The sequence below is a fragment of the Homo sapiens genome, chromosome 8, assembly GCF_000001405.40.
Source record: "Homo sapiens chromosome 8, GRCh38.p14 Primary Assembly".
NCBI classification, from domain to species: domain Eukaryota; kingdom Metazoa; phylum Chordata; class Mammalia; order Primates; family Hominidae; genus Homo; species Homo sapiens.
The window spans coordinates 19,624,625-19,651,261 of NC_000008.11; the positions used below are offsets into that span (position 1 = coordinate 19,624,625).

Sequence of the window (26,637 nt, forward strand, 5' to 3'; positions counted from 1 at the left end):
ACTCAGAGGATCAGGCTACTTCCTTCCATCTTGTACTTTTACCATCTTCTTGTTTTTTTTTTTTCTTTTCTTGAGACAGAGTCTCGCTCTGTTGCCCAGGCTGGAGTGCAGTGGCGAGATCTCAGCTCACTGCAACTTCCGCCTCCCGGGTTCAAGCGATTCTCCTGCCTCAGCCTCCCAAGTAGCTGGCATTATAGGCATACACCACCACGCCCAGCTAATTTTTCTATTTTTAGTAGAAATGGGGTTTCACCATATTGGCCAGGATGGTCTCAATCTCCTGACCTCGTGACCCGCCCACCTCGGCCTCCCAAAATGCCGGGATTACAGGCGTGAGCCACTGCACCCAGCCGGTTTCACCATCTTCTTGCTTCACTGTCATCCTGCTATCACCCAGCTAGTAGATGCAGAGGAACAAAAGATAAGCCTAATCAACGACTGAACCATCTCAGCCAGGAAGGGACACGAGTCAGTTCCATTCACATTCCATTGGCCAGAAAGAGTATCACAACCCTACCTAGATGGAGAGGGACTGTAAAGTATAGTCTTCCCAGTGACCAGGAGGGACGTGGGGTGGTCTGTGACACACATCACGCTGTTTCTTCCTCCAATAGGCATTAAACTGCAGTCTATTAAGGAGGAAGAAAAGAAAGGAAGTAGCATTCACTGATTTGGGGTACCAAGTTTAATGCTACAAACTTCATACATGCTGTGTTTAAACAGTAAGAAAACGTAAAACAAATGTCATTCTCCTCATTTTATACATGAAGAAACTGAAGCATAGAGCTATTATATAAGTAAATTAAAAAGTCAGGAGTTGACTCCAGGTCTATCTGACTCCAAGGCCTGTGTTTCTCTTTTATCATCCCAGGTTTCTCAAAAGGTGGCCCACAGCTCACTTCTATCACAGTAATTTGAGGTGCCTGAGCCTCACACCTTGCTTACTGAATTAGAATATCCAGGGCTGGAGTATAGGAATCTGCAGTTTTAACAAGTTCCCAAGCTGACTCTATACTATAGCGGATCATGCTGTCTCTGCAACACAACAGTGAAATTCTAAACAATCTCTTTAAACAAACTAGAAAATGTACGAAAAAGAAGTAAGATTCAGTAGGCTTAAGAGAGGGGGCCTTAAGGCAAGTGGAAAATCCTACAGAACAAGGAGTTTGAGGCTGGGGAATTCATCCTAAGCCAGTTAGTTTCCTGGGTAATCTTGGGCAAGTCACCTAACTTCACTCAATCTGTCCCCAAAAAAAGTCTACATTTTCTCCATAGTAAAATGTTGCAATCAGGCTAAATAATCTCTAAAGCCTTTTCAAAAGTTATTTGCAAAGATTTAAAGAGCTTTAAACTGAGACAATAAAACACATACAGGATGAAGAAAGTATTAACATTTAAATTAACAGATAATCCTAGCAAGATTTTTTGTAGATATACACAGGCTTCTTCTAAAATTTATATGGAAAGGAAACAGAACTAAAAAGTTAAAACAATTTTGAAAAAGAAGAATAAAGTCAGAGGAATCACAATACCCAGTTTTAAGACTTACTGTGTAACTATAGTAATCAACACAGCATGGTATTTGCAGAGAAAAAGGTCCATAGATCAATGGAACAGATTACAGAACCCAGAAATAGCTTTACGTAAGAATGGCCAGCACATTTATTTTTTAACAAAGATTTAAAAAGCAACTGAATGGAGGAAGGAGACTGTTTTCAAGAAATGGTGTCGGAACAACTGGCTATCCTGAGGCCCAAAGGGGAAGGAAAAAAAAAATTTACAATCTAAACCACACCTTTAACAAAAATTAGATCAAAATGGATCCTAGATCTCAATGTAAAATGGTAAATGTAAAAATATAAAACCTTTAGAAAAAACATAGAAAATCCTTGTAACTTAGGGTTAGGCAAAGAAATCTTAGGCATGACACTGAAAGCATGATCAGTAACATAAAAATTTCAATTCATTATAAATTTGTTTTCCACAAAGTATCTTGGGAATAGGATGAAAAGATAATCAACAGAAAGTGAGAACATGTCTGCAAAATACATGTCTGACTAAGGACTTGCTTTCAGTATATTTAAATAACTTGCTAAACTAAATAGTAAACAATCTAAGTTTTTTAGTGTGCAAAAGACTTGAACAGACAGACCTTCACCAAAGAGAATATGGGTGGTGAGTAAGTACATCCTTAGCCAGAGGAAAACACAAATTAAAACCTCAATGAGATACCACTACACACCTATTAGAATGGCAAGAATAAAAAATAGTGATAATACTAAATTTTGGCAAGCATGTAGAGGAACTGGGTCCCTCACACATTGCTGGTGGGAATGTGAAATGTACAACCACTAACGGAAACAATTTGACAGTTTTTTAAAAAGTTAAACTTACAGCTAGCATATGACTCAGCAGTCATACCCTTGGGTATTTATCCTCAAGAAATGAAAACATTCTCACATAAAATGTACATCAGTTTTCGCAGCAGCTTTATTTGTAATAGCCAAGAAACTGACACCAACCCAAATGTCTTTCAGAGAGTAAACAAACTACCATCCATCCATTTAATGGCATATATACTAATTGGCAACAAAAAGCAATCAACCACTAATACACAAACCAGATGGATGGATCTCAAGATTATAGAGAGTGAAAAAGATCAATCTCCAAAGTTAAGATTCCACTTATGTGGCATTCTCAAAAACTGACGGAGCATGGATGGATCCACGGCTGCTGGAAGGGGAGCGAGTTAGGGATGAAAAGAGGGCGTAACTATAAAAAGATTGCACAAGGAAGTTAGTTCCTGGAAATGGAACAACTTGGTATCCCTACTCTGGCAGTAGTTACACACATCTAGAGAGGTAATAACATTTCATAAAACTATACACACACACAAACACAAAAAAGCAAGCATAAGGCCAGGCATGGTGATTCACACCTGTAATCCCAGAACTTAAGAGAGGCTGAAGCAGAAGGATCACTTGAGGCCAGGAGTTCAAGGCCAGCCTGGGCAACAAAGCGAGACCTGTCTCGAAAAACGTAATAAAAAAATTAGCCAGGTATGGTGGCATGCACCTATAGTCCCAGCTACGTTGGAGGCTCAGGTGGGAGGATCACTTGAGCCTAGGAGTTCGAGGCTGCAGTGAGCTATGGTTACACCACTGCACTGCAGCACCTGGGTGACAGAGCAAGACCTCCTACCTTTAAAAAAATAAAGCAGGATGAAAAAACTAGTGAAATCTGAATACAGTCAGTAGTTCAGTTAATAGTGTTGAAACAATATCCATGTCTTGGTCTTGATAAAGTACTATAACTATGAAAGATGTTATCACTGGAGAAAGCTGGGAGAAGGAACCTGGGAACTCTCTGTACTATTTTTTTCAACTTCTTGCGAGTCTAAAATGATTTCAAAATAAGATAAAAAGGAGCTAGTATTTGTTGAGCACTGTGTGCTGACATTGCTCTGAGAACTTTACATACATCAATACATTAAGTCCTTACACCTTTGCAGTAGATACTGTTGTATTAGTCAGTTCTCACACTGCTATAAAGATACTACCCAAGACTGGGTGATTTACAAAGGAAAGAGGTTAATAGACTCACAGTTCCACATGGCTGGGGAGGCCTCAGGAAACTTGTAATCATGGCGCAAGGCCAAGGAGAAGTAAGGTACATCTTACATGGTGGCAGGAGCGAGAAGGCTCAAGGGAAACTGCCACTTTTAAGACCATCAGCTCTCATGAGGACTCCCTCACTATTATGAGAATAGCATGAGGGAAACTGCCCACATGATCCAGTGACCTCCCACCAGGTCCCTCCCTTGATACATGGGGATTACAATTTGAGATGAGATTTGGGTGGGGACACAGAGCCAAACCGTATCAACAGTGTTCACTGCATTTTACAGATCGGGAAACTAAGCTTCAGAAAATTTAAGTGAATTGAGCAAGGACGCTGTTGCTAAGTAATAGAGGTAGGATTCAAACCCAAGGAGTCCAATTCCAGAGCTTTCAGTCTTAATCAATAGGCTTTTTTTTTTTGTTTTTTGGGTCTCGCCATGCTGCCCAGGCTAGTCCTGAACTCCTGGCTCAAGCAATCTCTTCGCTTCAGTCTCCCAAAGTGCTGGGATTACATGCATGACCACTGTACCGAATTCCAATAAGCAATATTTTTTAAGGACAAAAAAAGAAAAGCAGGACAAACAGAAGGTCAGGATAGGAGTCAACAATATGGGGGGAGGAAAAGAAAAAGAACACAAAAAGACAAAGTAAACCAAACACAGCATGCAAAGGCCTGGGAAGTGATCTTTCTGGCACCCTCTGTGTCAGTCAGTCCCATAGGAAAGACTGTATTCCATTTTGGTCCACTTATTTCTAAGAGACCAAGGAGAAACTGGAGAGAGGGAAGGCACATTCTCAAAGGAATATTAAACAGCTCTTATTCTAATAGGTCCAAGTAATTGGAGTTATTCAATCTACGGGAAATCAAGAGAGTAGTTTAATTGCCACCTTCTGTAAAGACTTTTGAGAGCATGCCCAGAGGATACAGGACAAATGAAAGAGACTTAAATCGAAAAAAACCGTTTAGTTTGACATTAAAAAACGTTTTCCTGGTCATCTGAGTTAGGACAAAAGTAGGACAGATTAGACTTTCTTCTGAGACATTCAAGAAGGAAAAAACAAAACTGGCAGTTCATTGTACTCAAAATGAAACCTGTTCAGAAGCTGTAACTGGTGCTATGCCAGGACCCATATAAGACATTTGTTATGTGTTGTCTGTTTGAATCCTCGTAGGTAACTATGAAGCAGGTATAGCTGTTCCCATTTCATAGATATGGAAACTAAGCTTCAGAGAGGCTCAACTCCTGCCTAAAGGCACTCAGCTGCCTGGTATTGGAGATGTGAAATGCAAACCGAGGCATATCTGCCTTTACAACTCAGATTATTTCCATTATGTTATATACATTGTTAAACTTGGAGATTTGTGGACTTTGACACCAGCCCCCTACTCCAGCCCTAATGGCATAAAACTGCATCAAATAATTAATTATGGTTGTTTTCCAGCTGTAAAAGTACCTATGCCTCAAAATGCTACTAACCTGATTTGACATCAGCTCCAAATCCACTCATCTCAATCAAGCCCTTCTTTCAGGAGCTCCATTTTGTCCAGTAAGGAAACCTATGCTTCTAATGTATCATTCTCTCAAAAGCATCCCTGTGGGGTATGCAAATTGAATTAGAAAAAATGACAGAGAAGGAGTAAGCACGTGAGTCTCATTTTAAAGATGAGAAATTCTGAGACGCCCAGTAGGCCAGGCATAGAATCAAAGTTGTGTGTAAGTCAACAAGAGACTCAGGGATCAGGGGAGTCCGACATCCTAAAGATCTCAACATAGAATGAGTGTAGCCCCATGGATGCTATGGCAGAGCAACGTGGAAAAACTGGGCAGGCCTCTACCCATCCAGGCCAACACGGGCCGAATGAAGACTTTCCAGCTTTGACTGTGCACAGTTGTGGGTAGCCACAGTTAGGTTGCCAGAGAAGATTAGCCATCCAAGTTCCCACGTCTCTGTGTGTGTGTGTGTGTGTGTGTGTGTGTGTGTGTGTGTGTGTGTGTGTATGTGTGTGTGTTCTAGTAAAATTTTATTTGTAAAGACTGAAACTTGAGTTTCATATAATTTCTTGCTAATTTAAAAAAATTAATAGAGTTTAATTTTTAGAGCAATTTTAGACTTACAGGAGAAGTGAGAGAAAAAGTACAGAGTTCCCATATATTCCCAACCACCCCCATCAGTTTCCCCCATTATTAACATCATGCATTGGTGTGGTATATTTGTTACAACTGATGAACCAATATGGACACACTATTATTAACTTTACATTAGGATTCACTCTTTGTGGTATACAATTCTGTGGGTTCTGCCAAATGTATAATGAGGTGTACCCACCATTACAGTATCAGGCAGCATAATGTTACTGCTCTAAACATCCCCTGTTCTTCAACTATTTTATCCCTCCCCCACAAAACCACCAAAACCACTGATCATTTTGCTGTCTCTATAGTTTTATCTTTTCCAGAATGTCATATAGTTGGAACTACATAGTAGCTTTTTCAGACTGGCTTCTTTCACTACAATATGCATTCAAGCTTCCTCCAGGTCTTCTCACACCTTAATGGCTCTTTTTGAAAAACAGACTAAGAACAGTTTTAGGGTTACCAAAAAAGTGATCATAAACTATGGAGATTTCCCAGACACCCGCCTCCCTACAGTTTCCCCCTTTTATTTCCATCTTGTATCCGTTTGGTACATTTGTTACAACTGACGAGCCAATATTGACATGTTATTAACTAAAGTCCATTGTTTTCATTGGAGCTCGCTGGGTTTTGACAATTGTATAATGATATGTATCTAATGTTAGCACACTTGTAACAGACCATTTGTATGACCACACCACTGTTGGTCTATCCATGCATCTCCTGAAGGACATTTTGGTTACTTCCAAATTTTGGCAATTATGAATAAAGTTGCTATAAGCATTTCATGAGATTTTTGTGTGCACCTAAGTTTTCAACTTATGTTGAAATATCAATGATCTTGATTGCTCGCTTATATGCTAAGACTATGTTTAGCTTTGGAAAAAAAAAACTGCCAAACTGTCTTCCCAAGTGGCTATACCATTTTGCACTCCCACCAGCAATGAATGGAGTTTCTGTTGCTCCACATCCTTGCTGGTGCTGTGTTTTAGATTCCAGACATTCTAACAGGCGGGTCTCTTGGATGTGTCTAATAGCTGTAGCTTACATTTTAACCCAAATGTATCTTTTCTAGACTAAAATAGAAAACAAGTCTTCATAAACCTCCAGAATTCAGCCTGCAATTGTCATTTTCAGAAACTTCAGCCAATCAAATTGGAGGGCTCCAGTGAGAACAAAATTCTTTAAAACTACTAATTCCTATTGCTGAAGGAAAGGCTGATATTACTTACTACCCAAAATACTTTGCAATTGAAAAAGCCAAGTCAAAATGTGTCCCTTCACTAATATGCCAAAATGAACTTTTTTAGTACAGCATGAGGACACCTTAAGTATAAAATAAAAATTGTATTCTGTTGACTAGGAGCCTCATAAAGGCACTTTCTTTAGCATTTCTGGATTTGACTGTGTTTTGCAAAGCTTCTCAGATTTAAACAAGTGTGCAGTCCTAAATTACTTTGTGCTATTTCTAAGACACTAAAAGGTGTGGGCCAGGGCAGCAGGGAGGGGCCTGGCATTTCCTTCTTCTATAGCTTATCCAGATGTTCTCTCACATTTTTTATGCAATCTGGGACAAGAGAAAAATAGGAAGAAGCTTTTTGCTGTAGGTTATTACACCTGCTATGGCCTGAATTTTCAAATAGTGGAAGATATTTTCTTACTATATTTCAAAGCTACATTTTACACCTTCTTGTTTACATAATACTTTTGATGCTCATTAACTCTACAAAGGTTTGGAAAACAAAGTGCAAAAACCAAATTCTTGAAGAAAGAGAAATCACCCAATTTCACATTTTTTGCAAATGTGAACTTTCCACAGTTATGACTTTATGATGTGGTAACTTTACATAATCAAAATCACATAACACATCTGCCTTGGAAAATTATTGGCAAGGATCTTAGATTGTTAAATGGCCCATTTTACATTCCAATCCTTAATGAGCAAGATCAAACCATGTAAAAACAAGCGCTTTCTCAACTATCTATCTGCCGTTTACGGCACCTCTTCAAAAGCTTTGGAAATAGTCCATAATTAGGTGGCAAAGATGCCTAGAAAGTCTTCCAAACCAAATGGCAAAGCATTTAAGGGAAGCATCAAAAAAGCATTCGTCAGAAATAAGCATAACATTTGGAATACCTTTCCTCGGTTTTTAATTGCTGCATTTTGGACGGTAAGTTTAATTACTTCTGTTCTTAACCCGCAGCTATCTACAGCGATCACTGCAGCCATCCCTGTATTTCATATGGCAACATCGAACATAAGAAACTTCAAGTAAAACACTGAAATACTCACATCTCAGCAGTGCTAAGAAAACTCTCCCCAGGAAAGGAAAGTTGTAACTTCCTTTCAACCTAAGCAGAGTGAGTACATTCTGCTGAGTCTTTTACTTTTATTTGACACAATCACACTCTGTCATCCAGGCTGGAGTGCAGTGGAACGGTCACAGCTCACTGCAGCCTCAACCTCCCAGGCTCATTGATCCTCCTGCCTTAGCCTCTCAAGTAGCTGGGACTACAGGCTTGCACCACCACACCCAGCTAATTTTTTTTTCTTTTTTTTTTTTTTTTGGTAGAGACGAGGTTTCCCCATGTTGCTCAGGCTGGTCTCAAACTCTTGGGCTCAAGGGATCTGCCCACCTCAGCCTGCCAAAATGCTGAGATCACAAGTGTCAAAATGCTGAGCCACCGTGCCCAGCTGAGGGCTTTTTAAAAGGGAGTTTGGGGGCTGGTAAGAATAAATGATGTAACTTTTTAAACATTTCCAGTGAGGGACCTCTGGCACAGGAGGTACTTGATTATCCCTGCCGAATTAAGAGGGCTTCCCCAGGTCGTCGGTGAATCTTTATCATTGAGTCTCGAGGCTGGAGAGTTCCAAGTATCTAATACAGTATGAGTCATTTGATTTTTGTGATCCTTTCCTTCCCTTTCTTACCCTACTGCTTGACAACCATACTACTCTCACCCACACTACAGACATAAAGCTTGCTACCATACAATTAAGGGCCGAATGGTGGTACCCCAAAGAAGATATGTTAAAGTCTCAGCCCCAAAACTTCACATCTTATTTGAAAATAGGCTCATCGCAGATATAATGACTTAAGACAAGGTTATACTGAGATAGGGCAGGTCCTTAATTCCATATGGCTATTGTCCTCTTAACACAATGTGAAAATGTGACAGCAAAGAGAGACTGCAGAGATGCAGCTGCAAAGCAAGGAATCCCACCGTTGGAAGCTGGGAGGAGGCAAGGGAGAGTTTTCCCCTATGGGTTTTAACAGGGAGAATTGCCCTCCAGACTTTTAGCTTTCAGATTTCAGATTTCAGACTTCTAACCTCCAGGACTGTGAGACGGTAAATTTCAGTTGTTTTAAACCATCTAGCTTGTAGTGATTTGTTATAGCAACCCTGAGAAACTGATACACATGCCTTGGTTCTTGAGTCAAACAGGGGTTCAAACCCTTCTTTCTGGACAACTGGTGGCATGCCAAACTGGTGGCATGCAAAGCTCTTCTGAGACTGGGGCCCAACCTTGCTGCACTAACCTCCTCCCCAGGGACCAGACTTCTTTCCCAACCGAGGGTTCGTGCCTTCCTACTTTCACTTAACAGTAACACAGCCTCCAGGGATGATGCCTAAAGGTCTACGGAAAACCCATAAAGCCCCTCCTGGGACTTGGGAGTTTGTTTGGTTTAATTTTTCATAAACACAAAATAAGCTAGTAAATTTATAATTTTACCTAAAAGTTAAGTAAACCTAGGACACTTTACGTCATATTTGTTCATTTTGAAAACATATTACTTTCATACACATAAAACGTCTGTGGCTCAAAAACTGTTGCTATGGACTGGATTATTTCCTCCCAAAATTCCTATGTTGAAGCCTTAACTCCTTAGTGTGATGGTATTTGAAAATGGGGCCTTTGGCAGGTGACTAGGTTTACATGAGATCATGTGGTGGGATGTTCGTGATGGGATTAGCGCCCTTACAAGAAGAAATACAAGAGGCCAGGTGTGGTGGCTCATGCCTGTAATCCCAGCAGAGAGAGGCCGAGGCAAGAGGATCATTTGAGCCAAAGAGTTCCAGACCAGCCTGGGAAACACAATGAGACCCTGTCTCTCCAAAACATTAAAAAATGAACTTGATATGGTGATGCACACCGGTAGTCCCAGCTACTCAGGAGGCTGACATGGGTGGATCACTTGAGCCCAGGAGGTCTAGGCTGCAGTGAGCCATGATTGCACCACTGTATTCCAGCCTGGGCAACAGAGTGAGACCTGTCTCAATATTTTTTTTAAAAAAGATGAGACAACAGAGCTTGCTTTCTCTTTCAGCCATATGGAGACACAGAGAGAAGGCAGTCATCTACAAGCCAATAAGAGAGCCCTTACCAGGAAGCAAAGTGGCGCACGCCTTCATCTTGGACTTCCAGCCTCTAGACCTATGAGAAAATTCTCTTGCATAACCACTCGGCCTATGGTATTTTGTGATGGAAGCCCAAGCTAAGACAGCTGTCATATTTAAGTGAGAACACAATGTAATATAATGATGATAACACTTTAAAAGCAGTAGCGCTAATCAGACACCATCTGAGTCAGGACTCTGTCATATCGATTTTGGAAAGACAGGTCATGTTAAATGTTTTAAGTAAATGTTGTACGTTTTAAGTACAGCAAATTTCTAAATGATTGTGTAATTAAGTGGTTATGGTCCTTTGCTTTCAATAATAAATAAGATCTGTTTACCTCCTCCTTCACTGCCGTGCCCTGGGCCTGGCCATCAGGGCAGAGGGGACCAGGAGGAGAGGGAGGGAGAAGACAGCTACCCGTCCTCTCCTGAGCCCACACTGGTGGAAAAGCCTCTGGGCACCTGTCTGAACTCCTTGGCGAGTAGGCCCGTGCAAGGCCAAGGGCAGGGATGTGTTTGAGCTGCTTTTCTGTCCAACTTCCTCAGTGTCTACTCTTGCCTACAGCATCTCCTGATGTGTGTTGCCCTCACTTTAGACACCAAGTCCTACCTGCCTACTGGTGTTTTTCCTCAACGCTTTGATCTAGGCCTGTTGCCCTAAATGGCAGATCTGAACCGCCGCATACATGTGGCATCTGTTAGTGTCAGGGGCTTAGGGGTGAACCTCGGCTGCTTCTGTGTCCAACTTCCTTGTTGCCTCCCCCTTGTCTGTAGTCTCACCAGATACTTAACTGCTCCTCCCCTCACCATTCACAGGCATTTCAAGATCAGCTCCACTTTTTCGGCATATTGAGGTTGTTTCATAAAGGAGGGATGGGCAGAGGGACACAGTTGTGAGGCATCCAAAGCGGGCATTTAGGAAGTCTTTCCACTTCCCTTTTCAGCTTTTCGTTTTGTTTTTTGAGACGGAGTCTTGCTCTGTTGCCCAGGCTGGTGTGTAGTGGCGTGATCTCCGTTCATTGCAACCTCTGCCTCCCGGGTTCAAGCAATTCTCCTGCCTCGGCCTCCTGAGTAGCTGGGATTACAGGCATGCAAGACCATGCCCGGCTCATTTTTTTGTAGTTTTAGTAGAGACAGGGTTTCACCATGTTGGCCAGGCTGGTCTCGAACTCCTGACCTCAGATGATCCACCTGCCTTGATCTTCCAATGTGCTGAGATTACAGGCATGAGCCTGTTCATTCATTTTTCAAAGGCTTCACACACCATTCCTCAGATTTTACGGTAGTATTCCCATTAACTATATGCCGTAGTCCCGCTTATCAGCGGTTCACTTTCTGCAGTTTCCATTACCTCAGGTTAACCATGGTCAGTAAACAGGCGAGTACAATACAATAAGGTATTTTGAGAGAGTTAGAGAGAGAGAGATCAGTTTCACGTAACTTTTATTACAGTATATTGTTATAACTATTCCATTTTATTATTGGTTATTGTTGGTAATCTCTAACTGTGCCTGATAAACTTTATCATAGATAAGTATATATTCAAAAAAACACTATAATATATATTAGGGTTTGGGACTATCTGTGGCTTCAGGCATCCAATGAGAATCTGGGAGCATATCCCTTGTGTTTAAGAGGAAACGACTGTGTAAGCGATACCAAAATCCAAGAGAAAATAGTACCCCTATAATCAGCACCACTTTATATAATTGGAGTCACTTCATAGAAAATGGTGGACAGTTTTTTATATTCTATGCTGCTCTGTCTCTGAAAAGTGTTGACAAGTCCCACAAAGGCATAATTATTTTTCATACACCTGAACAAGACCTGTCTTTCCAAAATCGATGTTCACACCAGTAAAACTACCCTGGTGTCACATACAGTCGGTAGTGCTGTCCCCAAATGGAGTGAGAACTTGGTAACATCCTTCTAGAATTCCCTATTCAATCAATAGGAATAACTTTAGAGTCTTCCTTCTCCCGAGTTTTGTAACGTTTTTTACCTTATGTAATACCATTTCAATGTGGATGCTTTCACAGGTCAATCAAAATCCTTGAGACAATTGTTTCACACTGAAGAAAGCAAGGACATGCTACATCATCTATTTTCATTAAAGAGTCTTAAGGAGGCCAGGCATGGTGGCTCAAGCTTGTAATCGCACTTTGGGAGGCCAAGGAAGGCAGATCACCTGAGGTCAGGAATTCGAGATCAGCCTGGCCAACATGGAGAAACCCTGTTCTCTACTAAAAAAAAAAAAAATAGAACAATTAGCCAGACATGGTGGTCTCCACCTGTAATCCCTCACTTTACTACTCAGGAGGCTGAGGCAGGAGAATCGCTTGAACCCAGGAGGCAGAGGTTGTAGTGAGTGGAGATCGCACCATTGCACTCCAGCCTGGGCGATAGAGACTCCATCTCAAAATAAATAAATAAATAAAAATAAAGTCTCAAGGAAATTGCTCTGCTTCAAGAGACTTTCCCTTTTCTAGTTGGTAGGGAATCAAACCACCCCCTTCTTTTCAACCAAAAGCCTTTATTTTCTCAATTTGGAGTTGGTCGTTTTAGTAATCACAGCAATCATTCTTTTTTATTTACCATATGCACTTGGGAAGATTTTTATTTTACTGTTTCTCTTTCCGGTTTATAATGTTCTCTTTTTTGTATGATAATGTCATAAGCCTAATTTTCCCTTCTGTTAGGTCTTGATTATTCCCCCCGAAGGCTGATATTTAAAATAAAAGCACTTAAAACTTAATGTTAGCCGAACAGTTATGTGGTCACATGCATACAAGGGAAAGTAAGCCTCCAGATACTGTTAATATTCCATGCAAATTAAGTCTAATGCAGCACATCTAGTAAGGAGTTTCCCTTCAGGGCTGATCTAATTATAAAACTGAGCCTAAGTTTTAAAAAGGTAATTGGCAAATAACCAGGAATCAGTTTGTCACTGCTGTTGCAGGACTGACTTCTGAGGATCATTCGTAACTGACAAGGGAAATTACAACCTGAGAATTATACTCGTTGTACGAGAATGTTCTCGAAATCAGCCTGACCAGTTTTTTTTTTTTTTTTTAAACAAACATAGAAGAAGTGAGTGCCCAGCGCTGATATTAGTTGAGGTTAGCCACAGGATGGGTTAAACAGGTCCCTTCAAGGTCAGCTGGAGCAGATCTCAGGTCGAAAGTGCTGGTTAAACCGAAGGAAGCAGCAGTGGGTCCACTGAGCAGCTCACTGGCTTTTGTCAACTGATATGAGGAAGTTTCGATGAAGGTATAGAAAAACCTTGACAACCAACCTAAACTGTTAGTCTCTTGAAACCAACGACTGTCTAAAATAAGCTAGGAGACTCATTTCTAGCTTCCCAGGCCCTCCTTTGTATTGAAACTCCCTTCCCTGCCTCCTTAGGACAGCCACATCCACCTCACCCTTCAGGTCTCAGCTCAAATGTCCGCTCCTGAGAGAGGTTGGGCTTGAGAGGCTGCCCTCCCTGCCTCAACTGTGTCTGCTGCTCCAAAAAGCAGAGCGGAAAATGGGCAACAGACAAGCCCACCCAGAAGGGAAGAAAAGCACTGCCCCAAGTGGCGATCACACCCATCGGTGCCCACTTGTCTTTGGGTTCAACCTAACCTTGGACCTCGCCTTCTTTTTCCTGCCCTGTAAGATTACTCTCAGTTAATTGTTCTAGTTATTTCTGGTTCTCAGCAGCATTACAATATTTTGCTAAGATAAGGTAAAAGGAACTGGATGAATCAGAAAGGGAACAAGTGAAAAGGCTAACAATAAGGGGCAAAGAAATATTTAAAATGTATTATAATTAAATAAAATCGAAATGCACAAAAGACTAACCCAACTGGAATTTAAATAGTTCTATGAGATCTTTGAAAGAAGTGATCATATAAGTGAGAACAGAACGGGAATAGAATCCTGTTCTATAGTCACTGGGTGGTAACTTCCCTAAGGCTAGAGACAGAGTGTCAATTCATTTGCTCCCCACCAAGAAAGAGCTGAACTAGGCCTGTGGGAAGGTATTTTGTAAATTCAATAGATGATCATTATTCTTAAAGGCCACATTCTGATGTAAAAGCATACACCGAGACTTACTTTGCACATCAAAGTTACAACTTCCAAGGTCAGTTAAAACTACCACATACATAATTTGCAAAAGGCTTTTACTACTGTAAATGCCTACTTTCTGTGTTCTTTTTCTGTTTTTTTATGGCTCACCAATAAAGAGGTATATCATGATCACCTCTTCTCTAACGACTCCTCCCCTGCCTCTTCAGGACTCTGAAGGGGAAAATTGACAGTAAATATGAATGTTTCCCTAGCCCCTCTAAAAGTACAAAATTAAAGAGGCCTGTTATCCTGTAATGAAAATGTTCTACTTAAATGAAATCTCATTTTCAAGTGACCCAACCACAGAACAATCAACAATAACAGGCTTTATGTCCAAATGGGAGAGGAGAAAGGCACAGCATGCTTGCCCTTGGTTAAGAAGGGTTGTATTTAAACAATGAGAGACAAACATGTCTACATCATGGGGTCTGGGGGAAATATGCTAGCTATTGTTGTTTTTGGATTAATGAGAATTTTGCTCCCAATTTTCCACAGAATGGTTTTTATTTTCTAATATTTTCATTGCACCATTAACCACTGCCAGGAAGAAGCCAAAGAGTTGCTAAAATCTACTGTATCACATGTGAAACAATGTGGAAACAGGTCTGTCACAAAACTAGGGTACCCCCATCACTCTTGGTCAGGGCACATAGTTCCATAGCAGGACCAGGGAGGAGATACTCAAAATGGGTAATGAATATTGAAAACTATGTATCATACCAAGTCTTGGGAGTCAGGAAGATGGGGCAGGTAATTTAACATTTGACAAAGCTTCCCTCTCTTCTTCCACCTCAAGGGGAAGAGAGCTGCTTTTCTTAATCAGGCCATCCACAACGTGCAACTGCTCTGACCCGCTCCATGTCATCATAAACAAATGGCAAAATATTAAGGAGTCTCCTGAATTTATAACGATATATCCATTTGCATTATCTAAAATGCTCTTTGGAACACTCACTTTTAAGAACAGTTTTGTTTTGTTTTGTTTTTGTTTGTTTTTTTAATGAGACAGTTTCATTCCGTCTCTCAGGCTGGAATGCAGTGGTACAATCACTGTCCATTGCAGCCCAGACCTCCCTGGGCTCAGGTGATTCTCCCACCTCGGCCTCCCAAGTAGCTGGGACTACAGGCGCACCACCATGCCCATTCAACCAAGCTCAGTAAACGATCCCACCTGCTGATGAGACCTTTCAATGTTCAATGCACCTGGGGGGAAATAACAAAGATATATAAGGTATTTTATTTCCCTCAATGATACTGTAGTGAGCAAATAGCTTATTAACATCTCCCATCTCAACCTCTAGCACTTGCCAGCCACACATCAGTGTAATATTTGTATATTTTGCTCACTTTATGAAATGTATTTATACATATGTACATTTACATATATTACACATGTATGGAAAATGACTATGCAACAAATTTAAAGCACATGATCCCACACATGTAAATCTCCCAACTCTCAAATCTCACTGTTTTCTCCTTGATTCCTGAAATTCTCCAGACTCCTTGGAATTCAGCTGCTAGAGTATTCTTGACTGAACATCAAACTGCTGCTAAAGACATTCTCAATGTAACTTTGAGTCCCAAACACAGCCATATTTTCATTTACTTAGGTAAAATGATTACATCTGGAAAATGTACTTGGACTCAAACTCAAAATCAGTTCTCCACTACATAAGAAAATAACAACATTAATTCTAAGCAGATTCTTCTAACAGGGAAGCACTATATAGCATTTCTCAGTAGTTGATCTGGCACACTTGAATCTAATCTGAATTTCTAACAACTTTGCTTCAGAAGTTTTTCCATGAAATTTGGTCTTTGCCTGACTCGCATGCTATAAATTCTATTAACCAAACTCTGCAGGCCCTTACACTATTCTTAAACAATTCTACACTTGAAAAAAGATTATGAAATCTTTAGCAAACACACTCTGTATTTCAGAAAGTAGAATTATGAGCTTAAGACTTAAGTTTTGGTTGTTTTTTTTTTCCTTTCAGATTATCCAAAAGGCTGGATTCAGTGCCTGAACAATCATTTTCTAAGACAGAGGAATGAAACCATAGAGAAACCCATTAGAGTTCAGACTGATCCTGTGAGACTCAGGCTGCTTAAACACAAAGCAGGATCATTTTGTAATCCATTTCTATTAGGTCTCTCCTTCCATGGAGTTCTCAAGTCTCCCAGGGATGCGGAATCTACCTGTATTACCAATAATGGTGACTGGTCTTTTTTTTTTTTTTTTTTTTTTTTTTTAAACCAACCCTCTCTCTCCCCTTCACTTCTCCTCCCAACAAGACCTTCAAGTGTTCAAGCTTTTCCAGGTACCACAACGCCAGCCTCACCCAATCCCTCTATGCCCACAATCCCTACCCGTCCTGGGGAGTCTGGGCTTTCTCCAGTGATAACAGATGGAAGTTAGTTGGATAATAAACCAAATCACATCAGATTTACAAGCTGCCTTAATCTAGTTCAGAAGATGCCTCCTAAAAGAGGCTGCTGCTGAGACTTGGAGCAGCAGGGCGAACCTGGGAGAACTCTCATTTTGGAGCTCTTCAAATGTTTTTATCTGGACAGCTGCAACCATACCAGTCCTACTGCATGGGAAACTCCATTAAAACAAGATGTCCACAGGAGTGGACACGATCTTTCAAAAAGAAGTACATTGTAAAAAATGTTTCACAACACACACTCAACATACCTTTTTAAATGTATGAAACATATTGAAATACGAGGGTGAAAACAAAGAAAGAAACAAAACCTGTAGGCATTCACTCATATCCTCCCATAAGACTGCCTTAAATGCATTTACAAAACACACACCTTCCTAGATAATGTACAGAAGAGGCAGAAAGTGACTGAAAGCAAAGTGATGGCTCATAATTACCAGGTGACCCCCAAATGCCTTCTGGTTGTTGGCCGGGGCTTTGCTACACAGTGTCCTCAGCAATTTTTTTCTGCGAAGGGACAGATACTTAAATATTTTCAGCTTTGTGGGCTCCATGAGGTTTCTGCCTCATCTTCCTCTTTGGTTTATTTTACAACCCTTTATAGGTGTAAAAACCATGTAGTCCAATCACCTCTTCCTTGGGAGATATTTGGGCAACGCCTGATGTCTGTGTCTAACTGGACATCAGTTAGGAAGAGTACTGAAAACTAAGAGGCTTCTGTTTGAAAGGAAAATGGCTTGTTAAATAGGCACTAAAACAGAGTTCCATTCTGCCTGAATCATTTTGTTAGCTTTACACAATTCCAAGAGAAATCTTAGAGACATCTGTGTTTCCCTTTAGTTTTTATTTTGTTTGTTTTTGCTGTAGGAAGGGTAGAGATCAGAGAAGACAGAAGAGAATGAATCTTGCAAAATGACTCTGACTCATATAAAGTAAAACGGTTACAATGACTAAGTTCTAGAAAATAATTGTAAGGAGGAAGAATACAACTTCAAGAAATAAAACATAAAGCTACAATAACAGAGTATCATTCTAGGGTAAATATGAAACAGATCAACAAAACTAAATAGCACAGAAACAGACCCTAAGCTATAAAAGACATTAATACATGATGAAGTGATGACAAAAGGCTATGGGGAAGCTGAGAGTAGTGGCTCATGCCTGTAATCCCAGGACTTTGGGAGGCCAAGGAGGGTGGATCACTTGAGCTCAGGAGTTTGAGACCAGCCTGGGCAAAAAGGTGAAATGCCTTCTCTACAAAAACAAAACAAAACAAAACAAAACTAGCTGGGCATGGTGGCACACACACACCTGTAGTCCCAGCTACTCGGGAGGCTGAGGTGAGAGGATCGTTTGGGCCCAGGAGATTGAGGGTGCAATGAGCTGCTGTGCTTTCACCACTGCACTCCGGCCTGGGTGACAAAGTGAGACCCTGTCACAAAAAAAAAAAAAAATGGCTGTGGTGGGGACACAAAGGCTTATTCAACAACAACAAAAAAATTGCTGGGTCAGTCAAAAGATTATCTATAGAAGAAAAATCAAGTCAGATTTTTCTCCATTTCAAAATATAATTCAAAATAAATTTCATGTAAATAATACAGTTAAAGTTTTTAAATCCCATTACAGGAGCTGGAAGAAAATACAGTTAAATTGTGACCAACCTTCTGGATGGGAGATTTTCTAAAATGATGGCAGGAATCACACACATAAAATATACACGACTACTTAAAAATTAAAATTAATAAATTGAATTAGTAAATTTACCTTTATATAGTAAGTTATATGTTATATAGTATATTATGAACTATTAATACAGTAAATTAAAATACTGAATAAAAATCAGCAAATTAAACATTAAAAAATAATTTTAAAAAGTCAATAATAACCAACTAGGACAATGCTTTCAGCTAATATAATAAAGTGTCAATATTCCTAATCTATAAAGATGTTTTACAAGCTGTAAGAAACATACTAGACTTCAATAGATTAAAAAGTAGGGAGCTTTCACCAGGCACAGTGGCTCATGCCTGTAATCTCATCACTTTGGGAGGCCAAGGCAGTAGGATGACTTGAGGTCGGGAGTCCAAGACTAGCCTGGCCAACATGGTGAAACCCTGTGTCTACTAAAAATACAAAAAATTAGCTGGGTGTGATAGTGTGCACCTGTAATCCCAGCTACTTGGGAGGCTAAGACAAAAGAGTTGCTTGAGCCTGGGACACAGAGGTTGCAGTAAGCCAAGACTGCACCACTGCACTCCAGCCTGGACAAGAGAGTGAGACACCATCTTAAAAAAAAAAAAAAAGTGTGGAAAGTTTCTTTAAAGTAGTGAAAATGTTAATACACAGATTTTCTGAAGTTTAATAAATTCACTGATAAAGAACTGAGACTTGAGAAAACATTAGTTTTTGCTGATCAAATTAACCAGGATAGCACACAATGCCTGTTGGAGAATATTGAGTCCAGGCTTCCATCTGCTGCTGGCTGCAGTGGAAATTGGCTCAGTCACTCGGGTAAACAATTTAGCAGTAATTTGGCAAGTATGAAGTATATTTAAGGTGGTCTTACTTTTTGACCTAGTAATTTTACTTTGAGGAATCAATCTAAATCAAACAGTCATAAATGTGGACAAAGATGTCTATGCAGTCATGTGTACATAGGAGCATTGTTCATAAAATTGTAATTTACATGCCTAACATTGGAGAATGCTAAGTTATGGCATATAGATTTTATAAAATATTGTCTAACATTAAAATTATGTTTATGAGTTTTTAATAGAAAATTTGTGATATATGTTAATGTGTTGGAGTCTCAAGTTTGCCAATATGTGTGCACACAGTGCACACACACGGATTAAAGGCAAATATACCAAAATAATTAATAGTGATCATCATTGTAACGTTACTAGTAGGTAAAATTATAGGTAACTTATTTTATTCTTCATATATTTCTGGATTTTCTACATTTTCCATAATTAGTATATTTCTTTTTTGTTTTCACAAATATTAATTTCTTAATCAGAAAAAAATACACCTGAAAAACAGTTCTTAACCTCTCAAAAAAAAAAAAAGGTAATGAGGGGCGGGGTGCAGTGGCTCACGCCTGTAATCCCGGTACTTTGGGAGGCTGAGGTGGGTGAATCACCTGAGGTCAGGAGTTCCAGACCAGCCTGGCCAACATGGTAAAACCCCATCTCTACTAAAAATACAAAAATTAGCTGGGCATAGTGGCATGCGCCTGTAATCCCAGCTACTTGGGAGACTGAGACAGGAGAATTGCTTGAACCCGGGAGGCAGAGGTTGCAGTGAGCCGAGATGGTGCTACTGCACTCCAGCCTGGGTAACAGAGCGAGACTCCGTCTCAAAAAAAAAAAAAAAAAAAAAAAAAAAGAGGAAACATAGCTAGTCATCTCATCAAGCCAAAGCTTCTTCTAAACCAGAATTACAGAACTAAAAATGACCTCAGGTACCTAACCTAAGATCTTGTACTGCAGATACAAAAAAATCATTCTAAATATTTTATGAAACTGAGGCATATCCTATATCCATAAAAGTCTTATCCCAACATGCCATCAGCCAGGTATTAATAATATTCCTGTGTAAATAGCAGGAGCCTCTGTCTGGCCAAGAAACAAATTTAAGAGTAAAAATCCAGTTTTGATAAAAATGAAAGGATCTATGTAAAAGTCTTTTAATCATCAAAGTTCAATTCATTAAAAATAAAATCATCAATAACCTTGATTTTGATATGATTAGACTGTCAGAGCAAAACATTATAATTAATTTAGGCCTGCTCTCACCAAGGCAGGAGGCCGGGCAACAGGATTCACCAGTTATTTGATTCTAATACAATGAACAAAGGGAACAATGTGCTGGATTATTAATAAGTCAAACAGGGAAAAATGAGTAACTTTAGGCAGCATGATGCAACGGTATTAACATACAACAGTGGGACATAGCCAAGACATCCTCTAATGAAGACATGGAGAATACTGTCCAACTGAAGATAACAAAAGCTATAAAACAACACTCAAGCACCAAATTCCCTTTGTCAGAGAACAAGCTGCTGTGGTGGAAATTGTCTAGATTTTGAAGTCACACAGACAGGAGGTAGAATCCCAGTGCAGCCACTTACAAGCTGTGTGCTCCTTGGCAAGGTTCTTAACCTCCCAGAGCATCCATTTCCGCAGCTGTCAAACACAGATAACAAGGAACCTCGAAGGGTGGGCGTAAGGTTGAGATCGTGGGTACTAAATTCCTGGTTCAAAGCGCAGCTTGCCTACCAACGAATGGAAGCTGTAAGTCCATTATGAAAGACTGGACTCCTGGGTCACTGATGCTGTGGGCACTGCCTGACTTGCAAGCACAGGGGGAAAGCTGTGATTGATGTTGGCAGAAGTGGCTGGAACAGGTAGCAAGTGAATGATATGGCAGCAGCCTGGATGATCAAATGTAGCCCTGGCCCTGACATTACCCACTGGTTCCCCCAGGGCAGTGCTGGCCTGGGCTCTCTCTGTCCACCCCACACCAACTCCAAACTCCACACAGCCTAGAAAAAAATGAGGATAAAAGGAATGGGTAAACGGTAAAAAGAATCCCACCAGAGAGCTAACAATACGCCCTCCAAAGAGAGGGAAAAGCATGTTATAGAAAATACAATAAGCCTTTTAATTAAAAGAAAAATAACAAGAAATGAGTGAGAAATCAACACATCTAGAATAAGCCTATTGAACGACACTTTAAAAGAGATGTTGAACACAAAGAGTGAAGAAGATTGGCAGTGATGGGAAGAATTAATGAAGACAAAAATCGATATTACTCAGTAGACTGACAAGAGAAAAATACTAGAAATACAAGATAAGTGTGTGTAAAATAAGAACACTGCCTGGCATGTATCTGGATCGTAAGAGAATTAGACAATGACCTTGCCGAGAGAGAAAGAGACAAAGCTCCAGCCATCCCCAGAGGCTGAAGAAAGATCCTGTGTGATTTTGCTGATCACTGAAAAGTTAAAGGGCAATTCTGACAACTTGTCAATAAATTAAGCCTGGATTTTCAGAGAAGTAACAAAGATAATTTGAAGAGATACTGAAAATCATTTGCAACATGAAAACGGATCATAATTACATTAAGGGTAGTGGAACTAGGAGTAATAATGAGTCCTTTTTAGAAGAAACAATAGTGTCCAACGGATGTGACAGCCCCTTATATTGGTATAGGCACTTTTATTTTTAGCTGACAGAATACCATAGTGGATAAGGAAACGCCACCTTTAGTACAAGAAAGCCCCGTCTATGAATCTCAGTGTTGCCCCCTTACTTGTTGGCACATGTTATTAATACTTAAAACTCTCAGACTCAATTTATCTATAAAAGGGGTCTATAAATATCCATCTCCTATTACAGTTAACAATTGACAAAAAGACCTAGCCGATAGTAAGAGCTCCATAAATGGTACCTACTGTGAAGCTTACCACCATCTATTGCGTTGACCTGCATTCTAAAGAGGGGGATAAGAGACACACCTCCTCAGTGTCCAGATCTTGCCAAGTTGCTAAGGAGAAATAACAACAATCCTGAATAAATAGTTTTGGTGCTCAGCTCTACACCAAGAATACATGCATGACCTCCTTTGGCCTGTAAAACATGGTGAAAGCTACACGGCTGAGTGGCTCAGCTTACCACCGAGCACCTGTAAGCCTAGTGGTCCCCTAAATAAGAAGCCCGCTTAAGTGCAGCATCACAGGCCACCCTGAAGGTCAGCTTCTGAAGGACTGAAGCAGCTAGGGCCTTCCTATCAGGCTGGGAGAGGTTAGCTGACAACTCACAGCTTCTCACCCTGACCAGGTGCCATGTCCATTACACCTGCTATCCAACAAGTATTTCCTGATTTTATACCCCAGTGACTAAAAATGGCTACACGAGGCTACACACAATGGCTCATCCCTGTATTCCCAACACTGTGAGAGGTCAAAGCAAGAAGATCACTTGAGGTCAGGAGTTCAAGGATGTATTGAGTTGGAATCATGCCACTGCACTCCACCCTGGGCGACAGAGCAAGATCCTCTCTCAAAAAATATTTAAGCAAATAAAAAATAAAAGTGGCCATGTGTTTATCTGTATCTTGGCATGTTATTTTTGCTCCTCCTCTTTCAATTCCTCAGCTCATCTGAATACTCTAAGAGAGCCCAGTGATCACCTGCCAAATGGATTACAAATGTGCATCTCAGTGCTAATCCTAATTCTTACCACAGATCGGAGTTTTCTTTCAACAGAGCGGTGTATTAGGAACTCTGTAAAATTCAATGGCTGCATAATTTACAAAATGTAACACAGATAAAGAAATTGCAAATATCTTCAATTACCCCAACATTACCAAGTGCAAGTCATACGATACAGGATATTAGATGCTGATACAAGCTTTGGGACTGGTTTACTTAGGATATTATATTATCATTTGAAAGTATTTGGAATAAACTTTCACCTACATCCAAAACAAAAGCTATATGGGCAGTTTGGCTGGCAGCAATAATTTGCATAATGAGACATTTGAATAAAAGAAAGGCACTCTGTGTTGTGCCAATCTCAGACCCTGGGCACAAGAGACAGTACTGCTAAGCCAAGGCACTTCAAGGAGCATCTGAAAGGCCAAGTTCTGCTGCAAGTGGAAAGTAAATACATTGTTGCTCAGGGTTTCTATTCAAGCTCTTTGTTTTGTTTCAATATCTCAAGAATACTTTGGGAGTTAGTGAATATAATGACAATGTGTTACATATTATACAGTTCCTCTAAAAACAGCTCACTAGACCACTTACTTGCTCCTTCCAACACTTAAGAATAAAGCATTAAGTGTTATCTCCCTACCACTCAATCTGTTCCAAAGAATCTAGCAACATTAATCAAATTTCCAAGTATGGATGGGTATTTTTACTATTGCTGAACAAAACTGCATTTTAAACATTAATGTTAGAGGCAAACTGTCAAAAACAGGCACTCTCATTCTCTGCTGGAAGGAGTGTATCATTCTGTGAAGAGCAATTCATCAATATATAAAATTAGAGCCTACACTTTGACCATTTCTACATTCAATTTCTAGAAAGTTCCTTTACAGATACATCTCCACATGTACACATCGATTTCACCAAGGCTTTTTATGAAATCCTAAGAATGGAAACAACCTGGCTCGACACTGTGGCTGATACCTGTCATCCCAGCATTCTGGGAGGCCAAGGCAGGAGGATTGCCTGAGCCCAGGAGTTCCAGACTAGCCTGGGCCACATGGTGAAACCCCGTCTCTACAAAAAGTACTAAAATTAGCTGGGCATGGTGGTACCTGTAGTCCCAGGTACTCAGAAGGCTGAGGTGGGAGGATCACCTGAGCCTGGAGCAACTGAGGGTATAGTGAGCCATGGTGGCGCCAACTGCACTCCAGCCTGCGTGACAGAGTGGGACCCTGTCTCAAAGAAACAAACAAAAAGAATGTGAACACCTTAATGTCCATTAACAGAGAAGTGGATAAATTATATCCATGAAACGGAATACAGTAGAGACTTCAGAACAAATGCAGTAGCTCTATACCTAATAAATCAGACTCTACAGTGTTGAAGATCTCATATGGGTAGGTGTAAAAAAGCAAAGTATTTAAATATATAATAGTACTCTACTGTGTATGTCCATACAGTAAAGTGAAGACAGACTCACATATAACATTAATAGTTGATATTTGCCTACTGTATTCTGTGTGCCAATAATTGTTAGCAATGTACATGAATTATCTCAATTATTTCGTTTGTTCCTCTCAGTGATTCTAATATTCCCATTTTGCAGATGAGAAAAATGGAGGCACAAGGAGGTTTAGTCACTTGCCCAGGATCACAAAGTTGGTGGCCATCTTCTTAGGTATGACTACAAAGAACCTCCTAGTGTAGATATTAGCTATGAAAGTACCCACAGAAAGCTTCTAAGAGTAGTCACTCTAAGGAAGGGACTGCTTGGCTAAAAGATGGAAACCAGAAGATTTATTCTCCCTGAATCTTTGGTATTCTATACATGAGCGTGATCTGTGCAAAAAATAATAAATCCAGTGTTTTTTTACTCTGCCTTCTGGAATTAATTAGGAAGAAGGACAACATGAATGCTGCTGTATATCATGTATTTTTAAAGAAATGTTGTCTTAGTCCTATGTGTTTACTTGTGTAATTAATCCCTTAGTTTTTCCAAGTACTCAAAAAGATGGAAAAGACAACTTAATTCTATACAGAATTCACAGTTACGAATACATGCAATTTCCAAAATAATCAAAGGGGAATGATAAAATATCCATACACCCCAAAACCCACTATCAAGCCTACTGCCATGGGTGAGGGTTGAGGTTGTTCGTTTACTACAGATTAGCCAAGACTCTTGTTAAAAAGAGTAGAAATTTTAGGCTTTATTTCTAATTAAAGGAAGAAATTAAATGCATTCCAAGTAGCAAAAAAAAAAAAAAAAAAAAAAAAAACCACGGGGGGAGGCATTATGTATCTCTTAATTGTAAGCTCTAATAACAGAAAACCAGTAAAATTTTTCTGGTAGGGAATACATTCACCATAACATATGAAACCACATCTTCATAATACATAAAACATAAAAGGTCTGTGAGGTAGGGCCCTATTTCAGTATGTTTTTCTGAAATGCAGGGTCAGCAGGCCAAAACAGTACTTCCCAAACTTTCATGTGTATGATGAGCATCACCAACAATCTTGTTAAAACGATTCAGTTGCTCTGGGGTGAGACTCAGATTATGCATTTCTAATAAGGATACTCCTGTTGGAGAGATGACATTTTGAGTAGCAAGGCACCAGGCAATACATAAAACTAAATAAAAGTATAATCTGATCAATGAGGTTGTAGAATCAAATTGAAACTATTAAAATCTTAGCCCCTTCAGAAGTATTTGAAAGCTAGACAAAGAAATAGATTTAGATTTTTTCTCTTGAAAACTGTGAGCAGTGTGAAATAAAGAGATGTAAATACTACGCTCTCAAATTTGGTCAACAATTCAAAGTCGATTTCAAAAGATCCAGGAGGGGTTCTAGTTTCAAGAATGAGAGAACACCTAGTAATTAGTACATTATTTTATGCATAAGTGAGCAATAGTGAAGCTCTTAATTTTTTTCAGCTAAATCAAATGCAATCCAATGGGCACCAACAATATGCTCAGCAATGGTCGAACAGAAGATGCTGATGACGGGGTCAACGTGGTCCTGGTTCCCAAGACCATCAGGTGTGGAGACAGCATGCCAGAGGCCAGCACAGTGGGGACGCTCCCAGGAGACCAGCCATAGCAGACAGTGTGTGTGAGACTGAAACAACACGCTTAAGCACTGAGGAAATGCAAAGCAAGGAAACAAAACCGGTTCATTTCTTTTGTTTGGAATGAGGAATACATGAGGGTTTTGGTAATGATTTTGGCCAGGAAGTGAGTCTTGGCTTCTTAGAAAAGTGACTAAAAACTAAAGTGGCCTAAACCTGCACTTCCAGGACTCAGGTGAAGAGTCACGAGTTGCTCCCGTGTCCTTAGCAATTTTAACTGTTCAAAGTGCTGGAAAGAGGCATCACCAGATAATTCTAAGAGTTTACAGCATCAGGAGAACACCAAGGGACAAAGAAAAGGTGGGCTCAGAGATTAGCATGGAGGTGCGGTCTTCAGAAGTGAACATTTCCTCTGGGCCTTGATGTGATCAACTGTATAGGGGTCAGAAAGCTTTTCTGAAAAGGGTCAGATGGTGGGCAGTTCAGGTTTTGCCATTGTAGTACAGAACTAGCCATAGATCATGTTCCAATAAAACTTTACAAAATTCTGGATTTTGTCAATGCCACTGCATGGCAAAATGAGGGTAATAATACCTTTCCTGTTTTTTTTCATTTTCTATTT

General features: G+C 40.1%; 1 protein-coding gene and 1 long non-coding RNA gene across 43 annotated transcripts in view, besides 1 other annotated feature; one reads left to right on the forward strand and one right to left on the reverse strand.

The window, feature by feature from the left end:
- CSGALNACT1 (chondroitin sulfate N-acetylgalactosaminyltransferase 1) overlaps positions 1–26,637 on the reverse strand; it is a 353,748-nt gene that overhangs the window by 220,464 nt on the left and 106,647 nt on the right. The window contains exon 1 of one of the 42 annotated variants that reach the window (XM_047421966.1): positions 518–698. The exons of the other annotated variants lie outside the window; for them this stretch is intronic. The gene's annotated coding sequence lies outside the window, so the exon portion shown is untranslated. Of the gene's footprint in view, positions 1–517; positions 699–26,637 lie in introns of those variants that run through there. 42 annotated transcript variants of the gene reach the window in all.
- Positions 15,158–15,702: an enhancer, noted in NCBI's record as "OCT4-NANOG hESC enhancer chr8:19497293-19497837 (GRCh37/hg19 assembly coordinates)". NCBI's record gives its function as "activates a minimal SCP1, AML or CMV promoter by ChIP-STARR-seq in naive H9 embryonic stem cells {active_cell/tissue: H9 hESC(naive)}" and the evidence as "EXISTENCE:reporter gene assay evidence [ECO:0000049][PMID:30033119]".
- Positions 16,527–25,962, forward strand: LOC124901900 (uncharacterized). The gene is made up of 3 exons (XR_007060842.1): positions 16,527–16,599; positions 24,549–24,620; positions 25,882–25,962. It is a non-coding gene; the product is annotated as an uncharacterized LOC124901900 (long non-coding RNA).